The sequence below is a fragment of the Homo sapiens genome, chromosome 17 (genome assembly GCF_000001405.40).
Source record: "Homo sapiens chromosome 17, GRCh38.p14 Primary Assembly".
NCBI classification, from domain to species: Eukaryota; Metazoa; Chordata; class Mammalia; order Primates; family Hominidae; genus Homo; species Homo sapiens.
This window is the reverse complement of record NC_000017.11, coordinates 74,840,866-74,862,007: the sequence shown is the minus strand read 5'-3', so window position 1 is coordinate 74,862,007 and position 21,142 is coordinate 74,840,866. Positions and strand designations below refer to the sequence as shown.

The window sequence follows — 21,142 nt, the reverse complement described above, 5'->3', positions numbered from 1 at the left end:
GCAGCCCTCAAGATGCTGCCTCGCTGTATAACCTGAGGGGTCCTCGAAATTGGCCCAAGGTCACACACTCGTGAGCTGCGGGCTCAAACCCAGGCTCCGGGCAGGCTGGTGTGTCCTCCGAGGCGCACTTGCCCCGAGTGTCAGGTCTGGGGACGCGGTTCCGGAGAGGGGAGAGGGGCCCGGGAATGCGGCGGGAGGGGCCTCGAGGGGCAGCGGGCCGGGCCGGGCCGGGGCGGAGGTGGCGGGCCCCGGCGGGGCGGGCCCTCGCGGGCGGCGGTGAGAGCTCCCGCACAGTCGGCTGCGAGCTCTGGGAGCAGGAGGCGCGGTGCGCAGCCCAGCCCGGGACGGAGCCGGGCGCCGTGCGAGCTTCGGGAGGGTCGCGGGGCGCAGGGGCGGGTCGGGGCCAGCGGACCAGGCCGCGCCACCCGCCCCCGCCCCCGCCCCGCCGCGCCCGGGCTCCGGCGCCCGCGGAGCTGAGACTGAGCGCGCCAGCCCTCCGGGGCCGAGGCTCTGGGACAGACACCGCGAGGGAGGCGGCCGGCGCGGGCTCTCGTCGCGGGCGCAGCGCCCCTTCCCCTCGGTAAGTGGCGAGCGGCGGGCGAGGGGCACCAACTTCGCCGCCAACTTGGGGCTGGGTTCCCGCGGCGCGCGAGCAAGGACGGCGGAGACAGAGGCGGGACACCCGGGGGGTTGGACCCACGCAGGACTCTCGGGGCTCAAGGAGGGGGCGGCTGGAGGACCCGGACCCTCAAGAACCTGGCCTTGGGTTTTGACCCGGGCGGCCGGAGAGAAGGCGAAGAAGAGGCCGAGCAGACAGGCGCGCGGCGGACGCGAGAGAAGGACGCGGGCGAAGCGTCCAAGACGTTCGTCCCCAGGGTCGCCGAGCCCTCCTCCTCCTTCGCTTGGCGCGGCAGCACCGCGGGACCAGGGGAGTCTGGGCTGCCGCGGACCCAAACTGTTGCTGCTGGAAGCCGCCGGGGCGGAGAGCGGGGAACAGGGCCGGGAGTGGGGGCCGGGGCTGGGATCCACCAGAGCGAGGGGTTGGAAAGGAGTCGAGAAGGTGAAAGGGGGCTGTGCGGCTCCCCAGCCCAGTGCCCCAGTTTCCCTAGGTCTGCTGGGCACCTGCTGCGCACTCGCCTCGGCGCCCAGACCCCTTCCCCCGCCGCGAGTCCCGCTTCTTCCCCTTCCAGCTCTGCCCCATCTCCTTTGCCCCAGCCTAGCTCTCTCCTTCCTGCGACCTGGGAGAATCGGAGTGGGCTTCCAGAGTAGTGGCATCTTGCAGATGCTGGCCCGTGCCCGGCTCCCGGGCTTCCAGAGCGCAAAGGGAAGGGTAGGCAGAGAGGGCACTGGGCGAGCAAGACCTGGCGCTGGGCCCTGGCTGCGCACCAGCCGCCTGCGCCGGTCTCTGGGGGCTTCGCCCAGGATCCCCGACGGCGGGGAGGGGAAGCCCCGAGTCTCCTGTTTCCTGCCTACGCGGGCAGGGCGGGGACACGCGGAGCAAAGGCACCCGGCAACCTGAACCCCCAGGTGCGTCCCGCGACCCTGCAAGGAGCTGCTGGGTGAGCAAGACGGGAATTCCCGCCAGGCCCTGATGCCCACCCCATTCGTCCACTCGGTTTCCCAGCCCTGGTCGTCCAAGGGGACTTCTGGCTCGGTCCCCCAGCCCTCGGATGGTGGCGTTATCTTAGTTCAGTCCCTGACCCCGGGCCACAGGAAAATCGAGGAAAGACACTTATTTGGGGAGGGTACCATTCCGCTGGCTGTATTTCAGAGCCCGTCCAGGTCTTGGCGGTGCTAGTGACTTTGAGCCTGTTTCTAAACTCCCGAAGAATAAGAGCGTGCCAGGGGCAGGTAGGCAGGTCCGGGACACCTGGGTTCGCCCAGGGCCCCCGGGCGGGCCTGGGATGGTACTGGGGCCGCCTGCCAGGCTGGCTTGGTCCCCCCACTGCGGGACTCGGGGTCACGACCCAGCTTGGGGGAGTGGGGGTGGGGGCCCCGGAGCCGCGGACGCCGGCGGGGGGCAGCGTGGGGCGGGGGGCGCCGGGTGCGTGGTGCTCAGCTTGGCCGCCAGGAGGCGTGGCGCGGGTCCCCGCCCGGAGCCGCCGCCGCCGCCGCCGCCGCCGCATCGCGAGTGTCCTTGAGCCGCGGGTGACGGTGGCTCTCGCTGCTCGCGCCCCCTCCTCCCGCGGGGGGAGCCTGATGCCACGTTCCCTATGAATTATTTATCGCCGGCCTAAAAATACCCCGAACTTCACAGCCCGAGTGTAAGAGATTGCTGCGGAGGGGAGGGGGCGGGGCGTCCCGGTGGCCAGGGGGAGTCCGGGCGGGGTCCGCGGAGACGGGGGCCGTAGCCTTGGAGGAGCAAGAACTCCGTGCCCCCAGCAGTGGGGCAAGCTAGAACGGCGGTCCTCTCCCCTGGCGCCTGGGTTCGGGTTTTGGCTGGGCAAAAGGGAGGGAGGGAAACCCGACGGCAAAGGAGGGGCGGCTCACCGGAAGGGCAGGGGGTCCGGGGGTTCTGCTGGTGGGTGGGGAGGACTCCTGCGACAGAGTTTCCTAGCCTGGGAGAGGGAGAGCCATCGGTATCTCAGATGTGAGCGGGTATGAGTGCGGGAGTGTGCATGTGTGTGCAGGTCCGTGCCAGGGGGTCTGGCTGAGCTGTGAGGACCCGGGAAGGAGAAGGCCCCCAGCCTGGGAAGGTGCTCAGACCCTTCTAGATGCTGCTGTGTCCTGCAGGACTGACCACTGCCATCCTCTCTGGGGCTCTTTGGGGATCTCTGTGTTTGTCAAACATTAGTTTAAGGGCTGTTTGTGGAAGGGGTGAGACCCTGAGTGGGTGGGTGGGCAGAGGTCTCTGAGACAATGTGTCTGCCCTCAAGGAGCCCGCAGTCCAGTGTGGGGCAGGGTGTTAATGAGTGCACACACACCTGCCGCAGGGCAGAATGGAGGGGTGGAGGGGACCACTACACAGAGCTCCCCACCCAGGAGGGGAAGCCAGGGCAGGGGGAAGAAGGGCAGGTGCCCCAGCCTGGCCGCAGTCCCTGCGCCTAGAGCCTGAGGCATCAAGGCAGGTGCCTGTGGGAGAGGGATTTCAGCTGGGCCCTGAAGGAGAGTAGACTTCTGTTGGGATGAGGACATTCCAGCCTGGGGGATGCTGGAACGAGGCCTGGAGATGAGGGCAGAATGGGGCTGTTTGGCCAGCAGACTGGCAGAGCTGTGGGTTCCAGGGATGGGAGGACGGTTGGTTGCGGTCAGGGTGCAGAGGGCTCTGTCTATGGGACTAAGCTGTCTGGACTTCATTTGTGGGCACCAGGGTGTAGCTGTCCTGTGTGAGGAGGGAGCAGTGGCTGGAGGAAGGCTTCAGCAGTGCAGTGGGGCTGGCGGGGGTGGGTAGGTGGGAGGTGGGGAGGGGGAGGCAAGGGAGGAGATTGTGGCGGGGGAAAGTGGAGTTTGTCCCTCCTACCTCTGTAGGGTGGCTGGGTTAGACGGGGTGATGAGACAGAATTCGGAAGCTCCTTGAGTCTGCCCCTTGCTATTTGGAGCCCAGGGACTTACCTAGTTTTGGCCCCTGGCTCTGGAGGTATTCTGGGATCCCTCCCCCATTTTAGGCCCCTTGATTAGAGGTACAACCTGCCTCAACTCCCCCACCCCCCGACCCCCAACCCCCAACCCAGCAGGACACCTTCCCTTTGGAGAGAGTCTCTGGTGTCCCCAGCCCATGAGGATGTCTTCCTATTGGAGAGAGTGGGAATGAGAACATTTTCAGCTATTACCAGACCCTTATTCCTTCATGTGAATGAGCTCTAGGTCCTTGGCTAAGAAAAGGTCTTGACTGGGGAGGGTGGAAGCTTGAGGGGAGTAGGGAGTTGGAAAGAGAAATACATTTAGAAAAAGGAGGTTGGAGATGCTAATGGCAGACTGCTTATTCTGCCCCTTTGCAGTTGAGGGAGAGCCTGGGCCCTTCATCCAGGGTCACACTGTCCAAAGAAATAAAATGGGAGCCACAAGTACAATTTAAAATTTTCTAGTAACCACATTAAAACAAATAGAAACAGGTGACGTTAATTTTAATAGTATATTTTCTTTGACTAAACATACCCCAAATGTTATTATTTCAACATGTAATCAAGATACAAGTGTTTACGAGATTTTTTACATTCTTTTTCCCTGTTGTCTTCAATGTGCAGTGTGGCATGAAATTTTACACTGATAGCAAACTCCGTTTGGGTGAGAGATGTTTCTGGTACCCAATAGTCGTGTATGACTGGCGGCTCCTATACTGGGCAGCACAGATCTAGAGCTCATTACTGGGAGGCAGGGGTAGTAGGAGGTTTGGGGCTCCCCAGAGGGCAAGGAACCTCTAGGACCTGGAGGTGTGGGCAGAGGTGAGCAGACAGAGGCCGTGCAAGGGGAGCGACAAGCATGTCAGTGTCCTTTGTGGTTGAGATCTGACATCCCTGATTGGTGGTGGCAGCTGAGGCATGGCATGGCATGGCTAGGATCGATCCCTTGCCAGACTCAAACATGTCTCTGGGCTGTCAGTTCTGTCACTTCTGTCACTTCTGTGTCACTGTACTAGGGAACCGTACACATGGGAAGATTTCAAGGGCGCCACCATGAGAGCAATATTCCCTTCCTTGCCAAAACTCTTGTCTTCTTGGCCTGAAATTCTACCACCTGGCACTTTAGCTTAAGGCTCTGATTGTGGTTAAACTACATCTCTCTTGGGAATGAGAACCCTTTCAGCTATGATCAGTCCCTCATACCTTCCTGTGAATGAGCTCTAGATGCTTAGCTAAGAGAAGATCTTGACGGGGAGGCTGGGGAGTTTGAGGGAAGTAGGGAGAGAAGGTTGGAAAGAGAAATATATTTAGAAAAAAGGAGGTTGGAGGTGCTAACAGCAGCATGCTCATTCTGCAGATTTGACTCTAAGTTCCTGGAGGGCAGGGACCATGTCTCACCCATAGGGACATTCCACCATCCAGCGCCTGCTGCAGGGAAGGGGCTCAGCACACACGGGCCAATTGATGTTTCTACACTAAAGTTGGTTTAGTGGGTTCCCTGGAGGGATCCTTTCAGTGCCACCCTGGGGAGAAGAGGAACTTTCCTGAATGTTCCTGGTAGCCTCTTGCACTTCCCCGCTCTCTGGATTCCTTAGAGAGAACTAGAGATACAAGAAGGCCCATATGTCTGTAAGACATTAGGCTTTGGATTAAAAAAAAAGAGAGAGATAGCTGGGTGTGGTGGCTGACGCCTGTAATCCCAGCACTTTGGGAGGCCGAGGTGGGCAGATCATGAGGTCAGGAGATCGAGACCATCCTGGCTAACACGGTGAAACCCTATCTGTACTAAAAAATACAAAAAATTAGCCGGGCATGGTGGTGGGCGCCTGTAGTCCCAGCTACTTGGGAGGCCGAGGCAGGAGGATGGCATGAACCCGGGAGGTGGAGCTTGCAGTGAGCCGAGATCGCACCACTGCACTCCAGTCTGGGTGACAGAGCAAGACTCTGTCTCAAAAAAAAAAAAAAAGAGAGAGAGAGAAATTTGGTGGCAGGCAAAAGGAAGGCCCTGTGAGAAAGCTGGAGCCTGCCCAGCAGTTGTCTCGGGCCCCATCCCTGAAGGGCATCTGTCTTTCGGAGGCGTGGTTTCTGGCAACTGCTTGATTTTCGTGAGCATTTCTGTAGCAGAGATGTGCAGATCCTGGGGGAGGCGGGAGGGCTGGAGTGGCAGGCTCACCCTGTCCACCCTTTAGCTCTTCCCTGCTCAGAAGTTTTGCTGGGGATGTGATGAAGATGGGAGAGATGGCAGTGCCATGGCCGATGGCCAGCTGGGAGGGAGAGTGACATCCGTGGGCACCACTCCACTCAGGCTTTGTGTTACCCTCACTGCTGTGGCTCTTGGTCCCAATCCAAAATAATGACATTTAGCAAGGATACGTGTCAGGCCCCTGGGTTGGGTTCAAAAGATCCTGCACGCCAGTGATGGCCCGAGAGGCCAGCTCACCAGCTCATGTGTAACAAGACCAAACCCCAGCTCACCAGCTTGGGTTTTCCGGTACCCCTGAGCTCTGAACAAGTCAGTGCTGTTGCACCCTGCTGCGGAAGAGCTGCTACTAGCTGAGGCCACAGAAGGAAGGGCTGTAGTGACGTCCAGTGCCCAGGAGGAGGGGGCTCTGTGCCAGGCAGAACCATGCAGAGGAGGGCCCTTGGGGCTGGCCCCATGGCAAGCAGGGCACACTGACCAGTAGCACAGGCCCTGGTGAGAGACAGATGGAAGATCCGGTTTAGACTATGAGGAGGACTGGCCGGTGGGGGTGGGGGTTGGGGGTGATGCAAGAGCTGTCTTCCTTCACCTGGCTGGGGGCCTGTCACCTGCGGGATGAGGTCACTAATCCCAGCAAATAGCCTGTTAGCTCATCTAAGTCCTCACACTGCTGTGATTATTTCAGGCAAGAAAACATGGCTCAGAGAGGCTAAGTGACTTCCCTAAGATCACACAGCCAGTTAGTGGCAGAACTGGGACACGAACTCAGATCTGTCTGACTCAAATCCATGCACTTGAACCCCAGACTAGCATTTTCAGTATGACTTCCTAGGGCAGAACCCACTGGCTGAGTTTTGGAAGGCATCAGTAGACTGGAGGGCTGGGTCCCGGTCATGGCTCCTGTTCTTCCCCAGCCCTTGCTCTTCTGGGATGCCCTTGGGATGCTCAACTAACCTCTGTCTCTTTCTCTTTGTCCGTGTCTGTCTGTCTCCCTCTCTCTCCGCCTCTCTTCGGGGAGGGAGGTTTTCCCCTCTTCTCTTTCATCTTCCGTATGTGTGTCCCTCTGTCCCTCCTGTCTGTCCATCTGCCTCTCTCCAAACCTCTGTCTCTCTCCCTGTGCTTGTTCTGGTCTCTCCGCAGGACCCTCCGGTGGACATGGGTGGGGCCCTGGGGCCGGCCCTGTTGCTCACCTCGCTCTTCGGTGCCTGGGCAGGGCTGGGTCCGGGGCAGGGCGAGCAGGGCATGACGGTGGCCGTGGTGTTTAGCAGCTCAGGGCCGCCCCAGGCCCAGTTCCGTGCCCGCCTCACCCCCCAGAGCTTCCTGGACCTACCCCTGGAGATCCAGCCGCTCACAGTTGGGGTCAACACCACCAACCCCAGCAGCCTCCTCACCCAGATCTGCGGCCTCCTGGGTGCTGCCCACGTCCACGGCATTGTCTTTGAGGACAACGTGGACACCGAGGCGGTGGCCCAGATCCTTGACTTCATCTCCTCCCAGACCCATGTGCCCATCCTCAGCATCAGCGGAGGCTCTGCTGTGGTCCTCACCCCCAAGGTGCATGTCCAAACTCATGTCCCCTCGTGCCTCAGGCCTGGAACCAGGCTGGGGTCGGGGGTGCTTTGGTTCTGGGAAGCTGGGATTAGACGGGATGGGCAGGGAGGTGGGGGCTGAGGGCATGATGTGGGTGATGGGGAGATGGTTATGGGAATGACATCCCATGTTCTAGAGGAGAGATATTCTGGGCTGACCTCACATTGTGTCTGGATGAGGGGTGGGCAGGGTGCAGGCCCACCCTCTGGCTGTGGGGCTCAGGCCCCAGCCCTCCTCCTCTCTGCTTCCCTCAGCTTCCTAGGTCAGGGTGAAGACCCAGAGGGCCAGCCGGGCATGGAGGTGGTGCCATGCCCTCTGGGCAGTGGTAGTTGACCTGTAGGGTGAGCACCAGGGAACCCTGGGAGCCCTGGGGGAGGCAGAAACGGCCCTGCCCTTGCAGGGCTCAGGGGAGAACGTTCCAAACACACATTCATCAGCAGTTACAACTAGGACAAGCGTTCTGAAGGAAAGACACAGGATGCTGTGAGGGAGCTCACTCATGGCTCATGCATAGGGTGTTGGCCAGGGAAAGTCTCTGGAGAAATGATGTCTAGGCTGAGGGCCTAAGGGCGAGCCGGTGGGGAGGGGGAGAGGCCCAGGCAGAGAAGCAGGTGGGATGAAGGCCCCAAGGCGAGGAAGGAGCTCAGAGCTTTGGAGGAATAGAGGGAAAAGCCTGGAGAAGGAGGCGGGGGCCTGGCCACCTGGGAAGACATTTGGGCTTTTCCCTAAGCAAGTGAGCAGACAGGGCAGCGCAAGCCGGCTGTGACAGTGGCCGTGGTCTGTGCCTGCCTTAGCCCTGTGAGCTTCCTGGCCCTGCCCCTGTTGATCTAGCCACTCAGGGAAGAGCGGAGGAGAGTTGAGGGAAGAGACTGATCTGATTCGCCTTTGTTTCATTAATTTTTATATGAAGAATTTTGAGTATACATTAAAAAGTATAAGGAAGACTCATATATCCCCCATTCGCCCTGGCCATCCACCCCAGCCTCACCAGCACCCCCTTCCCCTTCTTCTGTGTTAATTTGAATCAAAGCCCAGGCATCCTCTTATTCCATCCATAAATATTTCAGTATGTATCCCTGGCAGATAAGGGCTTAAGAACGTAAAACCACCATACATTATCACGTCTAAAAAATAATAAAAACTCCTTCAAATATCCAGGCAGTGTTCAAATTTCCCCATTGTTTCATAACTGTCATAAGTGTTTATTTTGCAGCCTGTTTGCTCGAATTAAGAGCCAAATCGGGTCCACACGTGCCGGTTGGTTGGTGTGGCTTCTGAGTTTCTCTCAACCTCTGGGCCCCTCCTCTGTCTGTCTCTCTTTTTTCCTTGCAATTTGTTTATTGAAGAAACTGCGTTGCTTGGCCTCTGAATTTTCCCTTATTTGCTTTTTTAAAAGATTGGGACAGTGGCAGCAGTGAGACCAGTTACGAGGGGACTGCGCTGGCCCCGGTGCCAGCCGGCAGTGCCTTGGGTTTTTGTGGTGGCAGAGGGGTGGAGAGGAGGAGCTTTCCCACCCTCAGGGCTTCAACCAGGGTGGCGTTTCCCCGTCCTCTTGGGGCCCCGGCATAAGATCTCAGGACATTGGCTCTCAACCCTCATCGTGCTCTTAGGAAATACAGACGCCTGGCTTTGCACCTCTGGAATTCAGATTCAGTTGGTCTGGGGCAGCGCTTCTCAGTCTAGCGGGCTCAAGGATCGGCTGAAGAGCTTGTGAGAATACAGATGCCAGGCGGCATACCCAGCGACTCCGATCCAGTCGGTGTGGGGTGCGACCTGAGAATCTGCATTTCTGACAAACTCCCCAGTGGTGCTGATGCTGCGGGTCTGCGGGCCAGCGTGGTGGGCTGGGGGCCGGGCATGACCATGCTACTAGGCAGCGGGGAACCACATTGGGGCGGGAGGGAGGCGCAGGCCAGAGGGCTCCCGGAATGCGGAGCATCCGCCGGCGCAAGGGCGCCTGGGAGCTGATGGAGGGGCCGAGGTCGGGGAAGGGGCGGGAGGAGGGGCTCGGCCCTCCCGCCCCGCTCAGGCCCCGCCCGCCCCCAGGAGCCGGGCTCCGCCTTCCTGCAGCTGGGCGTGTCCCTGGAGCAGCAGCTGCAGGTGCTGTTCAAGGTGCTGGAAGAGTACGACTGGAGCGCCTTCGCCGTCATCACCAGCCTGCACCCGGGCCACGCGCTCTTCCTGGAGGGCGTGCGCGCCGTCGCCGACGCCAGCCACGTGAGTTGGCGGCTGCTGGACGTGGTCACGCTGGAGCTGGGCCCGGGAGGGCCGCGCGCGCGCACGCAGCGCCTGCTGCGCCAGCTCGACGCGCCCGTGTTTGTGGCCTACTGCTCGCGCGAGGAGGCCGAGGTGCTCTTCGCCGAGGCGGCGCAGGCCGGTCTGGTGGGGCCCGGCCACGTGTGGCTGGTGCCCAACCTGGCGCTGGGCAGCACCGATGCGCCCCCCGCCACCTTCCCCGTGGGCCTCATCAGCGTCGTCACCGAGAGCTGGCGCCTCAGCCTGCGCCAGAAGGTGCGCGACGGCGTGGCCATTCTGGCCCTGGGCGCCCACAGCTACTGGCGCCAGCATGGAACCCTGCCAGCCCCGGCCGGGGACTGCCGTGTTCACCCTGGGCCCGTCAGCCCTGCCCGGGAGGCCTTCTACAGGTGGGCACCTGCCCGGGGCATAGGGGTAGGGAGGTGGGGAGCGCTTCGGGGGAGCTGGCTGGCAGTGAGTTTGGGCTGGCCAGCCACACCTCCCACTAGCTGCGTGCCTGGGGCCACATTACCCCACCTGTCTGGGCCTTAGTGTCCTCATCTGAACAAACAGCAGGTGTCAGGGTGTGGCAAGGATCGTGGGGCCAATATAGGGAAGCACTTTGAACAATAAACACAATCAATGCCACCTGCTGTCGGTGGCGGCGGTGAGGCAGAGGCAGGGGGTGCCTGGTCCTTGGCAGGGCTGCAGGCATCTCTCCCCTCTGGCAGGCACCTACTGAATGTCACCTGGGAGGGCCGAGACTTCTCCTTCAGCCCTGGTGGGTACCTGGTCCAGCCCACCATGGTGGTGATCGCCCTCAACCGGCACCGCCTCTGGGAGATGGTGAGAAGGGGGTGAGCCCAGGGGCCCTCAGTGTCCTCTTATTTTGTCCCCGCCTCCTCTTGTGCCCACAGCTGAGCAGAGAGTCCCTCTGTCCCTTATCCAACCCCTCATCTTCCAGGTCTCAGCTGAAACAAACATCTCCTCCACTGGGAAGCCTCCAGGTGCCCCGGGGTGGGTGAGGTGCCCTGCTCTGGGCTCCCATAACACCCCGGCTTCCCTCTACTATAGAACATTTCAAGCGCTCCTATCTCCTGGTCCTGCCCCTGCAGGAGTAACCCATGACCATGCTGGCCAGACAGGCTTGTAAACAATATGCAGGGACAAGTGCTTGAGTAGACGTGTGCAAAAGATTGTGGGATTGGAGATGAGGAACAGGAATTAGTTCTGCCTTCAAAGGAGGAAACTGGGAAAGAGGTCCCAGAAGATGGGATATTTGAGCTGGGCTGTGGAGGTTTGAGTAGGAGCCCACCAGGAAGAGGTGCTAGCCTGGAAGAGACAGAGGGGCAGAAGGGTTTGGAGCATGAAGGGCCTTGAGTGCTCAGCTAAGGACGTTCTGTCAAAGTCAGGGGGGACCAGTACAGTGAGTGAGACAGGGTCAGGTCTGGGCTTTAGGAAGATGCTGTGGGTCAGTGTGGAGCTGTATGAACACAGGGACCCGAGGCTGGGGGAGGCTGTTGGGAGCAGCCCTACTCTGACCTGCCCCAGCATCCCTAGGTGAGAGAGGGAGATTCTTGGCCCTGGCAGGCTCCACCTAGAGGGTGGGGGCTGTAGGGCTGGAGGCCCCAGGCTGAGGCTGTCACCCTCCACAGGTGGGGCGCTGGGAGCATGGCGTCCTATACATGAAGTACCCCGTGTGGCCTCGCTACAGTGCCTCTCTGCAGCCTGTGGTGGACAGTCGGCACCTGACGGTGGCCACGCTGGAAGAGCGGCCCTTTGTCATCGTGGAGAGCCCTGACCCTGGCACAGGAGGCTGTGTCCCCAACACCGTGCCCTGCCGCAGGCAGAGCAACCACACCTTCAGGTCTGTGGAGGGCCCTGGGAGGCTAGTGTGAGCTGGGTGCTGCCGTGTGATGGTCAGGTGTCGTGTATGTCCCATGCTTGGGTGTGGGGCAGGGGTCCACGTGCCAGGCTGGAGGAGTGGCTGGGGCGGGGCTGGGCCACGACATACTCTGACTCCCGGTGGTCTCATGGCGGCATGGCTGCAGCAGCGGGGACGTGGCCCCCTACACCAAGCTCTGCTGTAAGGGATTCTGCATCGACATCCTCAAGAAGCTGGCCAGAGTGGTCAAATTCTCCTACGACCTGTACCTGGTGACCAACGGCAAGCATGGCAAGCGGGTGCGCGGCGTATGGAACGGCATGATTGGGGAGGTAGGCCCCACCCCACTCCCTCCTCACCTGCCCTGCCTGCCCACCTGCTGCCCAGGCCCCATGTGGCTCTCAGATGCCCTCTAGAGGGGGGCATGGGCTGTCACCAATGATGACTCCTGGGGTGGTCAGTACTGAAAGCTGAGCTCTGAGGGCCCCAGAGGGAATGATTGACTCAGCTGGTGGGTGCTAGAAGGGGTGTCTGGAGGTGCCTGTGCAGCGTGTCCACCCCACGGGAGCCCCTTTTTCAAACCTCCGTGGCGTCCGGCCCCCAGGTGTACTACAAGCGGGCAGACATGGCCATCGGCTCCCTCACCATCAATGAGGAACGCTCCGAGATCGTAGACTTCTCTGTACCCTTTGTGGAGACGGGCATCAGTGTGATGGTGGCTCGCAGCAATGGCACCGTCTCCCCCTCGGCCTTCTTGGGTGAGGCCCAGGGTGGGCAGAGACGGCTCCGGGGGCAGAGGGGCCCACGAGGAGGGTGTGTACAGCTTGGGTGGGGATGGGGAGTTGGGTGGGCTCTCACAGGCCAAGCACAGCAGCCTTGGGTCTTGGAGGTTGGCTGGAGGTGAGTGGAAAGGAGACAGGAGAAGTGAAGTCAGTGTTCGGTTCTAGGTATGGCTGCCAGGTGAGGGTGGGGTTGGGGGTGTGGGATGGGTCGTGGTGCCACTGTGAGTGGCAGGAAAATCCAGCAGGCAGGCTCGCCTCAGGATGGGCCATGGCCCAGGACTGTGGAACGAGTGGGGGAGGCCCGTGGGGAGTTGAGGAGCGAGTGTAGTGTGCGAAGAGGTGTGTTGCTTCCTGGGTGAGGAGTCCGGCATTGGTTGGGCAGCCAGGTCCCATGCTGGGTGCTGGGGCTACAGCGTAGTCTTTGCCTTCCCAAAGTTCCCTGTCAGAGGCCACGTGGGACATGAAGTGTGAGGTGGCAGAGAGCTGTGAAGACAGGCGAGGGGCAGGGGAAGAGCTGAGGCTGGCCAGACAGGAGTGGAAACCCCGGCTCTGCCCTGTCCTGCTGTGTGGCCTCGGGCAAGTCACAGAACCTCTCTGAGCAGGCTCCTCAGCCACGGAAGAGAGGAAAAAAAAAACCACTTCATAGCATAGCAAGTGCTCATGGCAGGATTGATTTCCCTCCCTCCCTCCCTCTCTCCTTCCCACTCTTCCTTTCTTCTTTCCTTCCTTTTTTTTTTTGAGACAGGGTGTTCCTCTGTCACCCAGGCTGGACTGCAGTGGTGCCATCTTGGCTCACTACAGCCTGGAAACTCCTGGGCTCAAGTGATCCTCCCACCTCAGCCTCTTGAGTAGCTGGGACCACAGGTGCATGCCGCCACACCTGGCTAATTTTTGTATTTTGTGTAGAGACAGGTTTTCACTATGTTGCCCAGGCTGGTCTCCAAACTCCTGGACTCAAGCAGTCCACCTGCCTCAGCCGCCCAAAATGCTGGGATTACAGGTGTGAGCTACTGCACCTGGCCAATAGTAGTGATTTCTTTTCTTTCCTTTTTTTTTGAGAATGAGTCTTGCTCTGTCATCCAGGCTGGAGTGCAGTGGTGCGCTCTCAGCTCACTGCAACTGCCGCCTCCTGGGTTCAACTGATTCTCTTGCCTCAGGCTCCTGAGTAGCTGGGACTACAGGCATGTGTCACCATGCCTGGCTAATTTTTGTATTTTTAGTAGAGACAGGGTTTCGCCATGTTGGCCAGGCTGGTCTCGAACGATCCGCCCGTCTCGTCCTCCCAAAGTGCTGGGATTACAGGCGAGAGCCACCAAGCCCAGCCAGCAGTAGTGATTTCTTACTCTAGGAGACAGAAACAGTCTTGTCTGAGGCCTGGGGTGGATGTCTCCAGTTCCCTGGGTGTGGGTTTCCATGTTGGTAGGATGAGGAGTAAGACTTGGCCTCAGGGGCTCTGATTCCAGGCAGAACCACCAGATCATCCACGTGGGGCCAGGCAGGGGTTGTGAAGTCAAAGGAACGTTTCTTGGGGTGGGTGACTTGTACCTGTCCCAGGGAAGTGGGGGGCGGGGGGAGACCAAGGATGCTGGAGAGCCTGACCTCTTTTGGGGGCCTCTCCTGGGGCTCTGCTGCTCTGAGTCAGAGGCCCCCTTGGCTGGGTCCGCAGAGCTGGTGGGCCCCTACTTTGATCACGTGGACCTACCTGTCTCCACCCAGTGCTTCTGGGCCTGGGGCAGGGAACATGCCGAGGCCTCTGAGCTGCCTCCCTCTGTCCCCAGAGCCATATAGCCCTGCAGTGTGGGTGATGATGTTTGTCATGTGCCTCACTGTGGTGGCCATCACCGTCTTCATGTTCGAGTACTTCAGCCCTGTCAGCTACAACCAGAACCTCACCAGAGGCAAGAGTAAGCCTTGCCTGGGCCCGGCAGGAGGGGTGGGCCTGGGCACCCTGAGGGCTGGGCTCAGGGGCAACGGGTCCTTCAGAGAATACCTTTGGGAGGTCCCTTGCTTTTGGATGGCACATGCTGGGGGCCAGTCAGATGACACACACACACAGAAACACACACGTGAGCTCACTTCACCTGGCGAGGGAATGGCCAGGACGCGTCCCCCCCAAGGCCAGGCTGAGACCGGAGCTGTGCAGTCGGGTGGGCTGAGCCCTGAGCCCTTTCATGGTGGGCAGGAGGAGCTCCAGCATCCCCCCGCCTCTTGCCCCCAGAGTCCGGGGGCCCAGCTTTCACTATCGGCAAGTCCGTGTGGCTGCTGTGGGCGCTGGTCTTCAACAACTCAGTGCCCATCGAGAACCCGCGGGGCACCACCAGCAAGATCATGGTTCTGGTCTGGGCCTTCTTTGCTGTCATCTTCCTCGCCAGCTACACGGCCAACCTGGCCGCCTTCATGATCCAAGAGCAATACATCGACACTGTGTCGGGCCTCAGTGACAAGAAGGTTGTGGGGCCATAGCTGCTGGGGGTGGGGGGGGGCACTGAGGGTGGGGACAGGCCGTGAGTGGGCAGGCCCTGGACAGTCGAGTCTGGGGAATTTGACCTGGAGGCTGGGGCAGGAAGAAGCTTCAGGGCCTGCTGAGAAGGGGTTGGGGGCTGGGGCAAGAGATGGCTCAGGGCCACCGGCTGAGAGGCCTTGGGTAAGTCTCTCCCTGTCTTGGGCCTCAGAGTCTCCATTTGGAAAACACAGGAGTGGCCTGGACAGCCTTTAAGACCTTCTGCTCTGACTATGCAAGTCCACACTGGGGCTGGGCTCTGGGGTGGGTTTGGGGCTTTGGTGCCTGGAAGGCTGGAGGAAGGGTTGTGACTGGCTGCTGCCCTCCGCCTGCAGTTTCAGCGGCCTCAAGATCAGTACCCACCTTTCCGCTTCGGCACGGTGCCCAACGGCAGCACGGAGCGGAACATCCGCAGTAACTACCGTGACATGCACACCCACATGGTCAAGTTCAACCAGCGCTCGGTGGAGGACGCGCTCACCAGCCTCAAGATGGGGTGGGTCCCCAGCCCTGCACCCGCTGTCTTCATCCGTGTGTCTCCCCAGTGACCAGCCTTAGCTCTCAATGTGGGGACAGTGGGACTGGGCTGTCCTGCAGGACTCCTGTGGGGTGGAGGGAAGAGGTCTTGGGGCAGAGTGGAGCTTGAGGCAAAAATGGAAGGCCACCATGTGTCTCAGAACACAGCTGTGGTGCCAATCAAAGTTCAGCCTCAGCCTGAGGTGGTGGTTGGGACCTTCTCTGAGTCTTAGGAGCACGGAGAGGGTGGGCAGAAAGGGTGGTGTGTCTTCTGGGAACAGACAGTCCCCTGGCCACTCTGCAGAGGAGGGTGGGAGGGGTCCTCACCCCATCCAGGACCCAAGAGAACCAGACAAGTCTCTGCCCATTGGTCCCTCCCGGGGGTGCCCAGCAGGCTCATGTGGTTTAGACCCCTGTCACGCCCCAGTTTCGGTGTCCCCTCCCCTCCCATATGGTCCCTAGCTCTGAGGCTCAGCCTGTCCCCAGGAAGCTGGATGCCTTCATCTATGATGCTGCTGTCCTCAACTACATGGCAGGCAAGGACGAGGGCTGCAAGCTGGTCACCATTGGGTCTGGCAAGGTCTTTGCTACCACTGGCTACGGCATCGCCATGCAGAAGGACTCCCACTGGAAGCGGGCCATAGACCTGGCGCTCTTGCAGTTCCTGGGGGACGGTGGGTACTGCCATTGCTGGGATGCCCAGGGTGGGCTGTGGAGCCCAAGGTTGTCAGCATTTCCACCACCACTCAAGTTCCCAAGGCCTGTGAGCAGGGAGAGGTCTCTGGGGGGTGAGAGGTTGGGGCAGCTGAGGTGGGCAGGTACTAGGAGCAACTGGAGAGAGACTTGAGGAAGGGATAGGTGTGCAGGGCGGGAGCAGGAACTGGGCTAGAGAGTCCCTGAAGGGCAGGAAGACAGGAAGGGGCTCAGGCCTCATGGTGGGGGTGGGGATGGGTGGAGTGGCTGAACTCCTTTCTTCTTCCCTAAGACCCCTCCCAAGATCTCTCCCAGATGAGCACCTCCTTTGCTCAGTATAGTATCTCCATGGCCATCTTGAGATTACGGATCTGCCCAGTCCCACATGTGTGAGTGGTCCAGCCCAGCCTGCCCCCAAACCCAGAGAGAGCTTTGTGTTTGGAGGAGTTCCATTCTTGTTAGATAAGACATGGTCTAGACTGGGTGTGGTGGCTCATGGCTATAACCCCAGCACTTTGGGAGGCTGAGGTGGGAGGATCACTTGAAGTCAAGAGTTTGAGACCAGCCTGGGCAACACAGCAAGATCCTGTCTCTATAAATAAAGTTTTTAAAAAATTAGCCAGGCATGGTGGCACACACCTATAATCCCAGCTACTTGGGAGGCTGAGGCAGGAGGATCCCTTGAGTCCAGGAGTTTGAGGCTGCAGTGAGCCATGATTGTGCCACTGCACTCCAGCCTGGGTGACAGAGTGAGACCCTGTCTCAAAAAAAAAAAAAAAAAAAAATCTGATTTCTCAAACCATATAATAATGAGAGCGGCCAGGTGAGGTGGCTCATACCTGTAATCCCAGCACTTTGGGAGGCCAAGGTGTGAGGATTGCTTAAGTCTAGGAGATCGGGATCAGCTTGGACAACATGGGGATACCCTATCTCTACAAAAGATACAAAAATTAGCCAGGTGTGGTGGTGTGCCTGTAGTCCCAGCTACTCAGGGGGCTGAGGTGGAAGGATCGCTTGAACCTAGGAGATCCAGGCTGCAGTGAGCCATGATCACACCACTGCACCCCAGCCTGGGTGACAGAGCACGACTGTCTCAATATAATAATAATAACAATAATAATAATAAGAGCAATCACAATGTGTGTCTCTTAGGAGCCTAGGCCTTTTGTCTCTGTGTGCCCAGCTCCGTGAGTGGCATGTAGATGGTTAATAAGTATATGAAGAGGAGTGAATGAATGAATGCTAACATTTACCCAATCACAAGCCTTTACTGGGGGTGCACAGGGGGAGGACCCAAAGGCCAGCATTGCCCACTCCAGCCTCCACCCTGCTTTCCTATTTCCTTGCTCACTGACCCTCCACTCCCCGCCCCACCATCCTGCTCCAGCCAGGCTGGATCCCCATGTGGTCTGCTTGAGGAAGAAGTGGGTGGCACCCTGCCCCAGATCCCTTCTTACTCCAGGTTTGTGGTGAGCTTTGTGAGGGGGTTGCTTATAGGGGGGTTTCCTGAGCCAGATGTGTACACCCCCCAACTCCAGGAGAGACACAGAAACTGGAGACAGTGTGGCTCTCAGGGATCTGCCAGAATGAGAAGAACGAGGTGATGAGCAGCAAGCTGGACATCGACAACATGGCAGGCGTCTTCTACATGCTGCTGGTGGCCATGGGGCTGGCCCTGCTGGTCTTCGCCTGGGAGCACCTGGTCTACTGGAAGCTGCGCCACTCGGTGCCCAACTCATCCCAGCTGGACTTCCTGCTGGCTTTCAGCAGGGTGGGTGCCCACCCCTCCCCACACAGGCCAAAGTTTTAAGGGCACCTACCCAGATAAGTCCGGGCTGGCCATGGCCCATTTCCAGAGGTAAAACCAAGGTTCTGGCCCGGCTCATGGCTCACACCTGTAATCTCAACACTTTGAGAGGCTTAGGCCAGTGGATCCCTTGAGTCCAGAAGTTTGAGACCAGCCTGGGCAACATGGCGAAAACCCATCTCTACAGAAAATAAAAGAATTAGCTGGGCGTGGTGGTGCGCGCCTGCAGTCCCAGCTACTCAGGAGGCTGAATTGGGAGGATCGCTTGAGCCAAGAAGGCAGAGGTTGCAGTGAGCCGAGATGGCACCACTGCACTCCAGCCTGGGCAGCAGAGTGAGATCCTGTTTCTAAAAAAAAAAAAAAAAGCCAACGTCCTGAGAAGTGGCATGGCTCACCAGGGTGGCAGGGTTGAAGAGGGTCAGAGTCCCCCCCACAGGTGTGCCCAGGTTGGAACCTTCATGTGCCAGGTGCTAGCTAGAGTGATTAGGAGAATGAGTCAACCTGGGCGCTCAGACCACTCATTCATCTGCAAAGCACAGTGCCTGGCGCATGGGAGATGCTTCACAGTTAGCTACTTCCTGAGACTTATAGAAGACTGATGATGCCTTGGGACCAGGCAGGGACAATCGTGGCGGGTCCCTGAGCGGAGGGCGCTGCTTACGGCCTGTCGTCTCCCTACTGCCCAGGGCATCTACAGCTGCTTCAGCGGGGTGCAGAGCCTCGCCAGCCCACCGCGGCAGGCCAGCCCGGACCTCACGGCCAGCTCGGCCCAGGCCAGCGTGCTCAAGATGCTGCAGGCAGCCCGCGACATGGTGACCACGGCGGGCGTAAGCAGCTCCCTGGACCGCGCCACTCGCACCATCGAGAATTGGGGTGGCGGCCGCCGTGCGCCCCCACCGTCCCCCTGCCCGACCCCGCGGTCTGGCCCCAGCCCATGCCTGCCCACCCCCGACCCGCCCCCAGAGCCGAGCCCCACGGGCTGGGGACCGCCAGACGGGGGTCGCGCGGCGCTTGTGCGCAGGGCTCCGCAGCCCCCGGGCCGCCCCCCGACGCCGGGGCCGCCCCTGTCCGACGTCTCCCGAGTGTCGCGCCGCCCAGCCTGGGAGGCGCGGTGGCCGGTGCGGACCGGGCACTGCGGGAGGCACCTCTCGGCCTCCGAGCGGCCCCTGTCGCCCGCGCGCTGTCACTACAGCTCCTTTCCTCGAGCCGACCGATCCGGCCGCCCCTTCCTCCCGCTCTTCCCGGAGCTGGAGGACCTGCCGCTGCTCGGTCCGGAGCAGCTGGCCCGGCGGGAGGCCCTGCTGCACGCGGCCTGGGCCCGGGGCTCGCGCCCGCGTCACGCTTCCCTGCCCAGCTCCGTGGCCGAGGCCTTCGCTCGGCCCAGCTCGCTGCCCGCTGGGTGCACCGGCCCCGCCTGCGCCCGCCCCGACGGCCACTCGGCCTGCAGGCGCTTGGCGCAGGCGCAGTCGATGTGCTTGCCGATCTACCGGGAGGCCTGCCAGGAGGGCGAGCAGGCAGGGGCCCCCGCCTGGCAGCACAGACAGCACGTCTGCCTGCACGCCCACGCCCACCTGCCATTTTGCTGGGGGGCTGTCTGTCCTCACCTTCCACCCTGTGCCAGCCACGGCTCCTGGCTCTCCGGGGCCTGGGGGCCTCTGGGGCACAGGGGCAGGACTCTGGGGCTGGGCACAGGCTACAGAGACAGTGGGGGACTGGACGAGATCAGCAGGGTAGCCCGTGGGACGCAAGGCTTCCCGGGACCCTGCACCTGGAGACGGATCTCCAGTCTGGAGTCAGAAGTGTGAGTTATCAGCCACTCAGGCTCCGAGCCAGCTGGATTCTCTGCCTGCCACTGTCAGGGTTAAGCGGCAGGCAGGATTGGGCTTTTCTGGCTTCTGCCATGAAATCCTGGCCATGGGACCCCAGTGACAGATGATGTCTTCCATGGTCATCAGTGACCTCAGTAGCCTCAAATCATGGTGAGGGCTGGGCTTTTGCTGTCCTCTTCTCACGCAGAGTTCTGCCAGGAGGGTGTGCTGTGGGGGTCAGACTCCTGAGGCTCTCCCTTCCCTGGGGCTAGCCAGTTACTGGTCATGGCTGCTGTGGGCATGGAGGCTGGAACTTGTGGTTGAGGCAGGGCCATCCCGATCCTTGCTCTACCTGGCTAGAGTTTCTTCTCATCAGAGCACTGGGACATTAAACCAACCTTTTACAACACACTGGTCCTGGCTGCTTCATTCTGCATTCTGGAAGGGGCACAGCACAGGCCATAGACAACAGGGCATCATGAGAGTATCCCAGGTGGGATGTTTGCCTAAAGCAGGTAGGCAGGTCCCTCTTGGGGAGGCGGAGCCTTGGGAGTGTCTGGGAGGGATGTGGGAAGGAGGTGAGGCTGAGAGGGGGCTCTGGGCAGCAGAAGCCACTTGGTATTCAGGGCCAGCTCCCACCCATCCTGGCACTGGATGTAACACGTGTGCTCAGCACGGGGGCTCTGGTGATGATGGATGGCGTTCATCCCTCAGTCTCCTTGAAAAGGGAGGCTTGTGCCAGGGGTAGTGGCTGTCCTGTCCTGCCCTGCCAGGGACGCCCTGGGGAGCCTGACAGTGCCATGGTGGCAGAGGCAGAGGCAGAGAAAGGTGTGGAGCTTGTAGGCTTGCTAAACCCTGGCTGGCCGCATTCTCTCCGTGGCTGACACACGAGGCTCGGAACTGCCTGGGCTCTGGAATCCTGGGGCAGGTGGCTGCCAGGGTCAGGCACAGCTTGGCCTCGCTGGTGCCAGGACTCCTGTGGTGGGAGAATCTGCCTGCGGTCTCATCCTCTTCTCCCTCTGGGGCTTCTAGCCCACTTCCTTTTTCTATCACACATCTTTGCCTCTGGCCCATCTGAAAAGATGGCTTGTGCTTACCATTTTCAATGTTTTCACATCTGCAATCACACTTATCCCCCCTACAATGACTGTGGAGCAAGCAGGCATTCCTTCTATCCGTTCCACAAACAGTGAGCACTATTGATTCTGTCAGACCCTTTTCTAACGGCTGAAGATGTAAAGGCCAAGCCCTGGCTGTCCTGACAAGTTGGGTGGAGGCAGGCCAGAGGCTAATTCCACGTGACAGAGAGGAAGCTGCGAGGGGCGGTGCTGGCTGTCTCTGCCAGTGCCCTCCCCCGTAGCTCCTTGCTGGTTCCCAGGAAGCCAGGCTGCCTCTTTAGTCTCTGAAGACCCCACTGTTTGGGTTGGGGCCATGAGAACTGGACTTTTTTTGGGTTAGTTTTAGGGGTGAAGGCAGCTGAAACGGTAGGGGGAGATACACCTCCATTCTTGGTAGGAGAGTACCCCAAGAGTGGGTGGCCCTGTCCACACAATTTCACGCTCTCTA

General features: G+C 60.1%; 1 protein-coding gene across 10 annotated transcripts, besides 5 other annotated features; it reads left to right on the top strand.

Annotated features, from left to right (window-relative positions):
• The first annotated feature begins 475 nt into the window (after positions 1 to 475).
• Positions 476 to 19,985, top strand: GRIN2C (glutamate ionotropic receptor NMDA type subunit 2C). Of its 10 annotated transcripts, XM_011524689.3 has the most exons (14): positions 2,123 to 2,264; positions 6,901 to 7,314; positions 9,397 to 9,995; positions 10,317 to 10,431; positions 11,241 to 11,452; positions 11,637 to 11,802; positions 12,075 to 12,228; positions 14,031 to 14,156; positions 14,471 to 14,700; positions 14,925 to 14,987; positions 15,088 to 15,248; positions 15,731 to 15,942; positions 17,500 to 17,732; positions 18,455 to 19,985. In XM_011524689.3, the coding sequence occupies exons 2-14, from the start codon at positions 6,916 to 6,918 to the stop codon at positions 19,571 to 19,573; spliced, it is 3,789 nt and encodes a 1,262-aa protein (XP_011522991.1). In that variant the 5' UTR covers positions 2,123 to 2,264; positions 6,901 to 6,915; the 3' UTR covers positions 19,574 to 19,985. The 10 variants fall into 10 exon arrangements, 9 of the variants coding, with proteins under 9 accessions (XP_047291823.1, NP_001265482.1, XP_011522991.1 ...); XM_047435867.1 differs by lacking the exons at positions 2,123 to 2,264; positions 14,925 to 14,987 and adding an exon at positions 476 to 580 and having other exon boundaries at positions 15,755 to 15,942; NR_103735.2 differs by lacking the exon at positions 14,925 to 14,987 and having other exon boundaries at positions 15,759 to 15,942.
• Positions 598 to 1,296: an enhancer, noted in NCBI's record as "H3K27ac-H3K4me1 hESC enhancer chr17:72856835-72857533 (GRCh37/hg19 assembly coordinates)". NCBI's record gives its function as "activates a minimal SCP1, AML or CMV promoter by ChIP-STARR-seq in naive H9 embryonic stem cells {active_cell/tissue: H9 hESC(naive)}" and the evidence as "EXISTENCE:reporter gene assay evidence [ECO:0000049][PMID:30033119]".
• Positions 7,044 to 7,239: a silencer, noted in NCBI's record as "fragment chr17:72850908-72851103 (GRCh37/hg19 assembly coordinates)". NCBI's record gives its function as "represses an EF-1alpha promoter that drives an FKBP-Casp9 reporter gene in an ReSE screen in phorbol 12-myristate 13-acetate-treated (for megakaryocytic differentiation) K562 erythroleukemia cells {active_cell/tissue: K562(+PMA)}" and the evidence as "EXISTENCE:reporter gene assay evidence [ECO:0000049][PMID:32094911]".
• Positions 9,486 to 9,545: a silencer, noted in NCBI's record as "silent region_8944". NCBI's record gives its function as "represses an Ori minimal core promoter by ATAC-STARR-seq in GM12878 lymphoblastoid cells {active_cell/tissue: GM12878}" and the evidence as "EXISTENCE:reporter gene assay evidence [ECO:0000049][PMID:35858748]".
• Positions 18,964 to 19,023: a silencer, noted in NCBI's record as "silent region_8943". NCBI's record gives its function as "represses an Ori minimal core promoter by ATAC-STARR-seq in GM12878 lymphoblastoid cells {active_cell/tissue: GM12878}" and the evidence as "EXISTENCE:reporter gene assay evidence [ECO:0000049][PMID:35858748]".
• Positions 19,104 to 19,183: a silencer, noted in NCBI's record as "silent region_8942". NCBI's record gives its function as "represses an Ori minimal core promoter by ATAC-STARR-seq in GM12878 lymphoblastoid cells {active_cell/tissue: GM12878}" and the evidence as "EXISTENCE:reporter gene assay evidence [ECO:0000049][PMID:35858748]".
• Positions 19,986 to 21,142: the final 1,157 nt, after the last annotated feature.

Coding starts and splice junctions, on each gene's coding strand:
- GRIN2C (XM_011524689.3), top strand. CDS start 6,916: ATGGGTGGGGCCCTGGGGCCGGCCCTGTTGCTCACCTCGCTCTTCGGT. Junction 7,315..9,396: donor CTGTGGTCCTCACCCCCAAG/GTGCATGTCCAA, acceptor GCCCGCCCCCAG/GAGCCGGGCTCCGCCTTCCT. Junction 10,432..11,240: donor GGCACCGCCTCTGGGAGATG/GTGAGAAGGGGG, acceptor CACCCTCCACAG/GTGGGGCGCTGGGAGCATGG.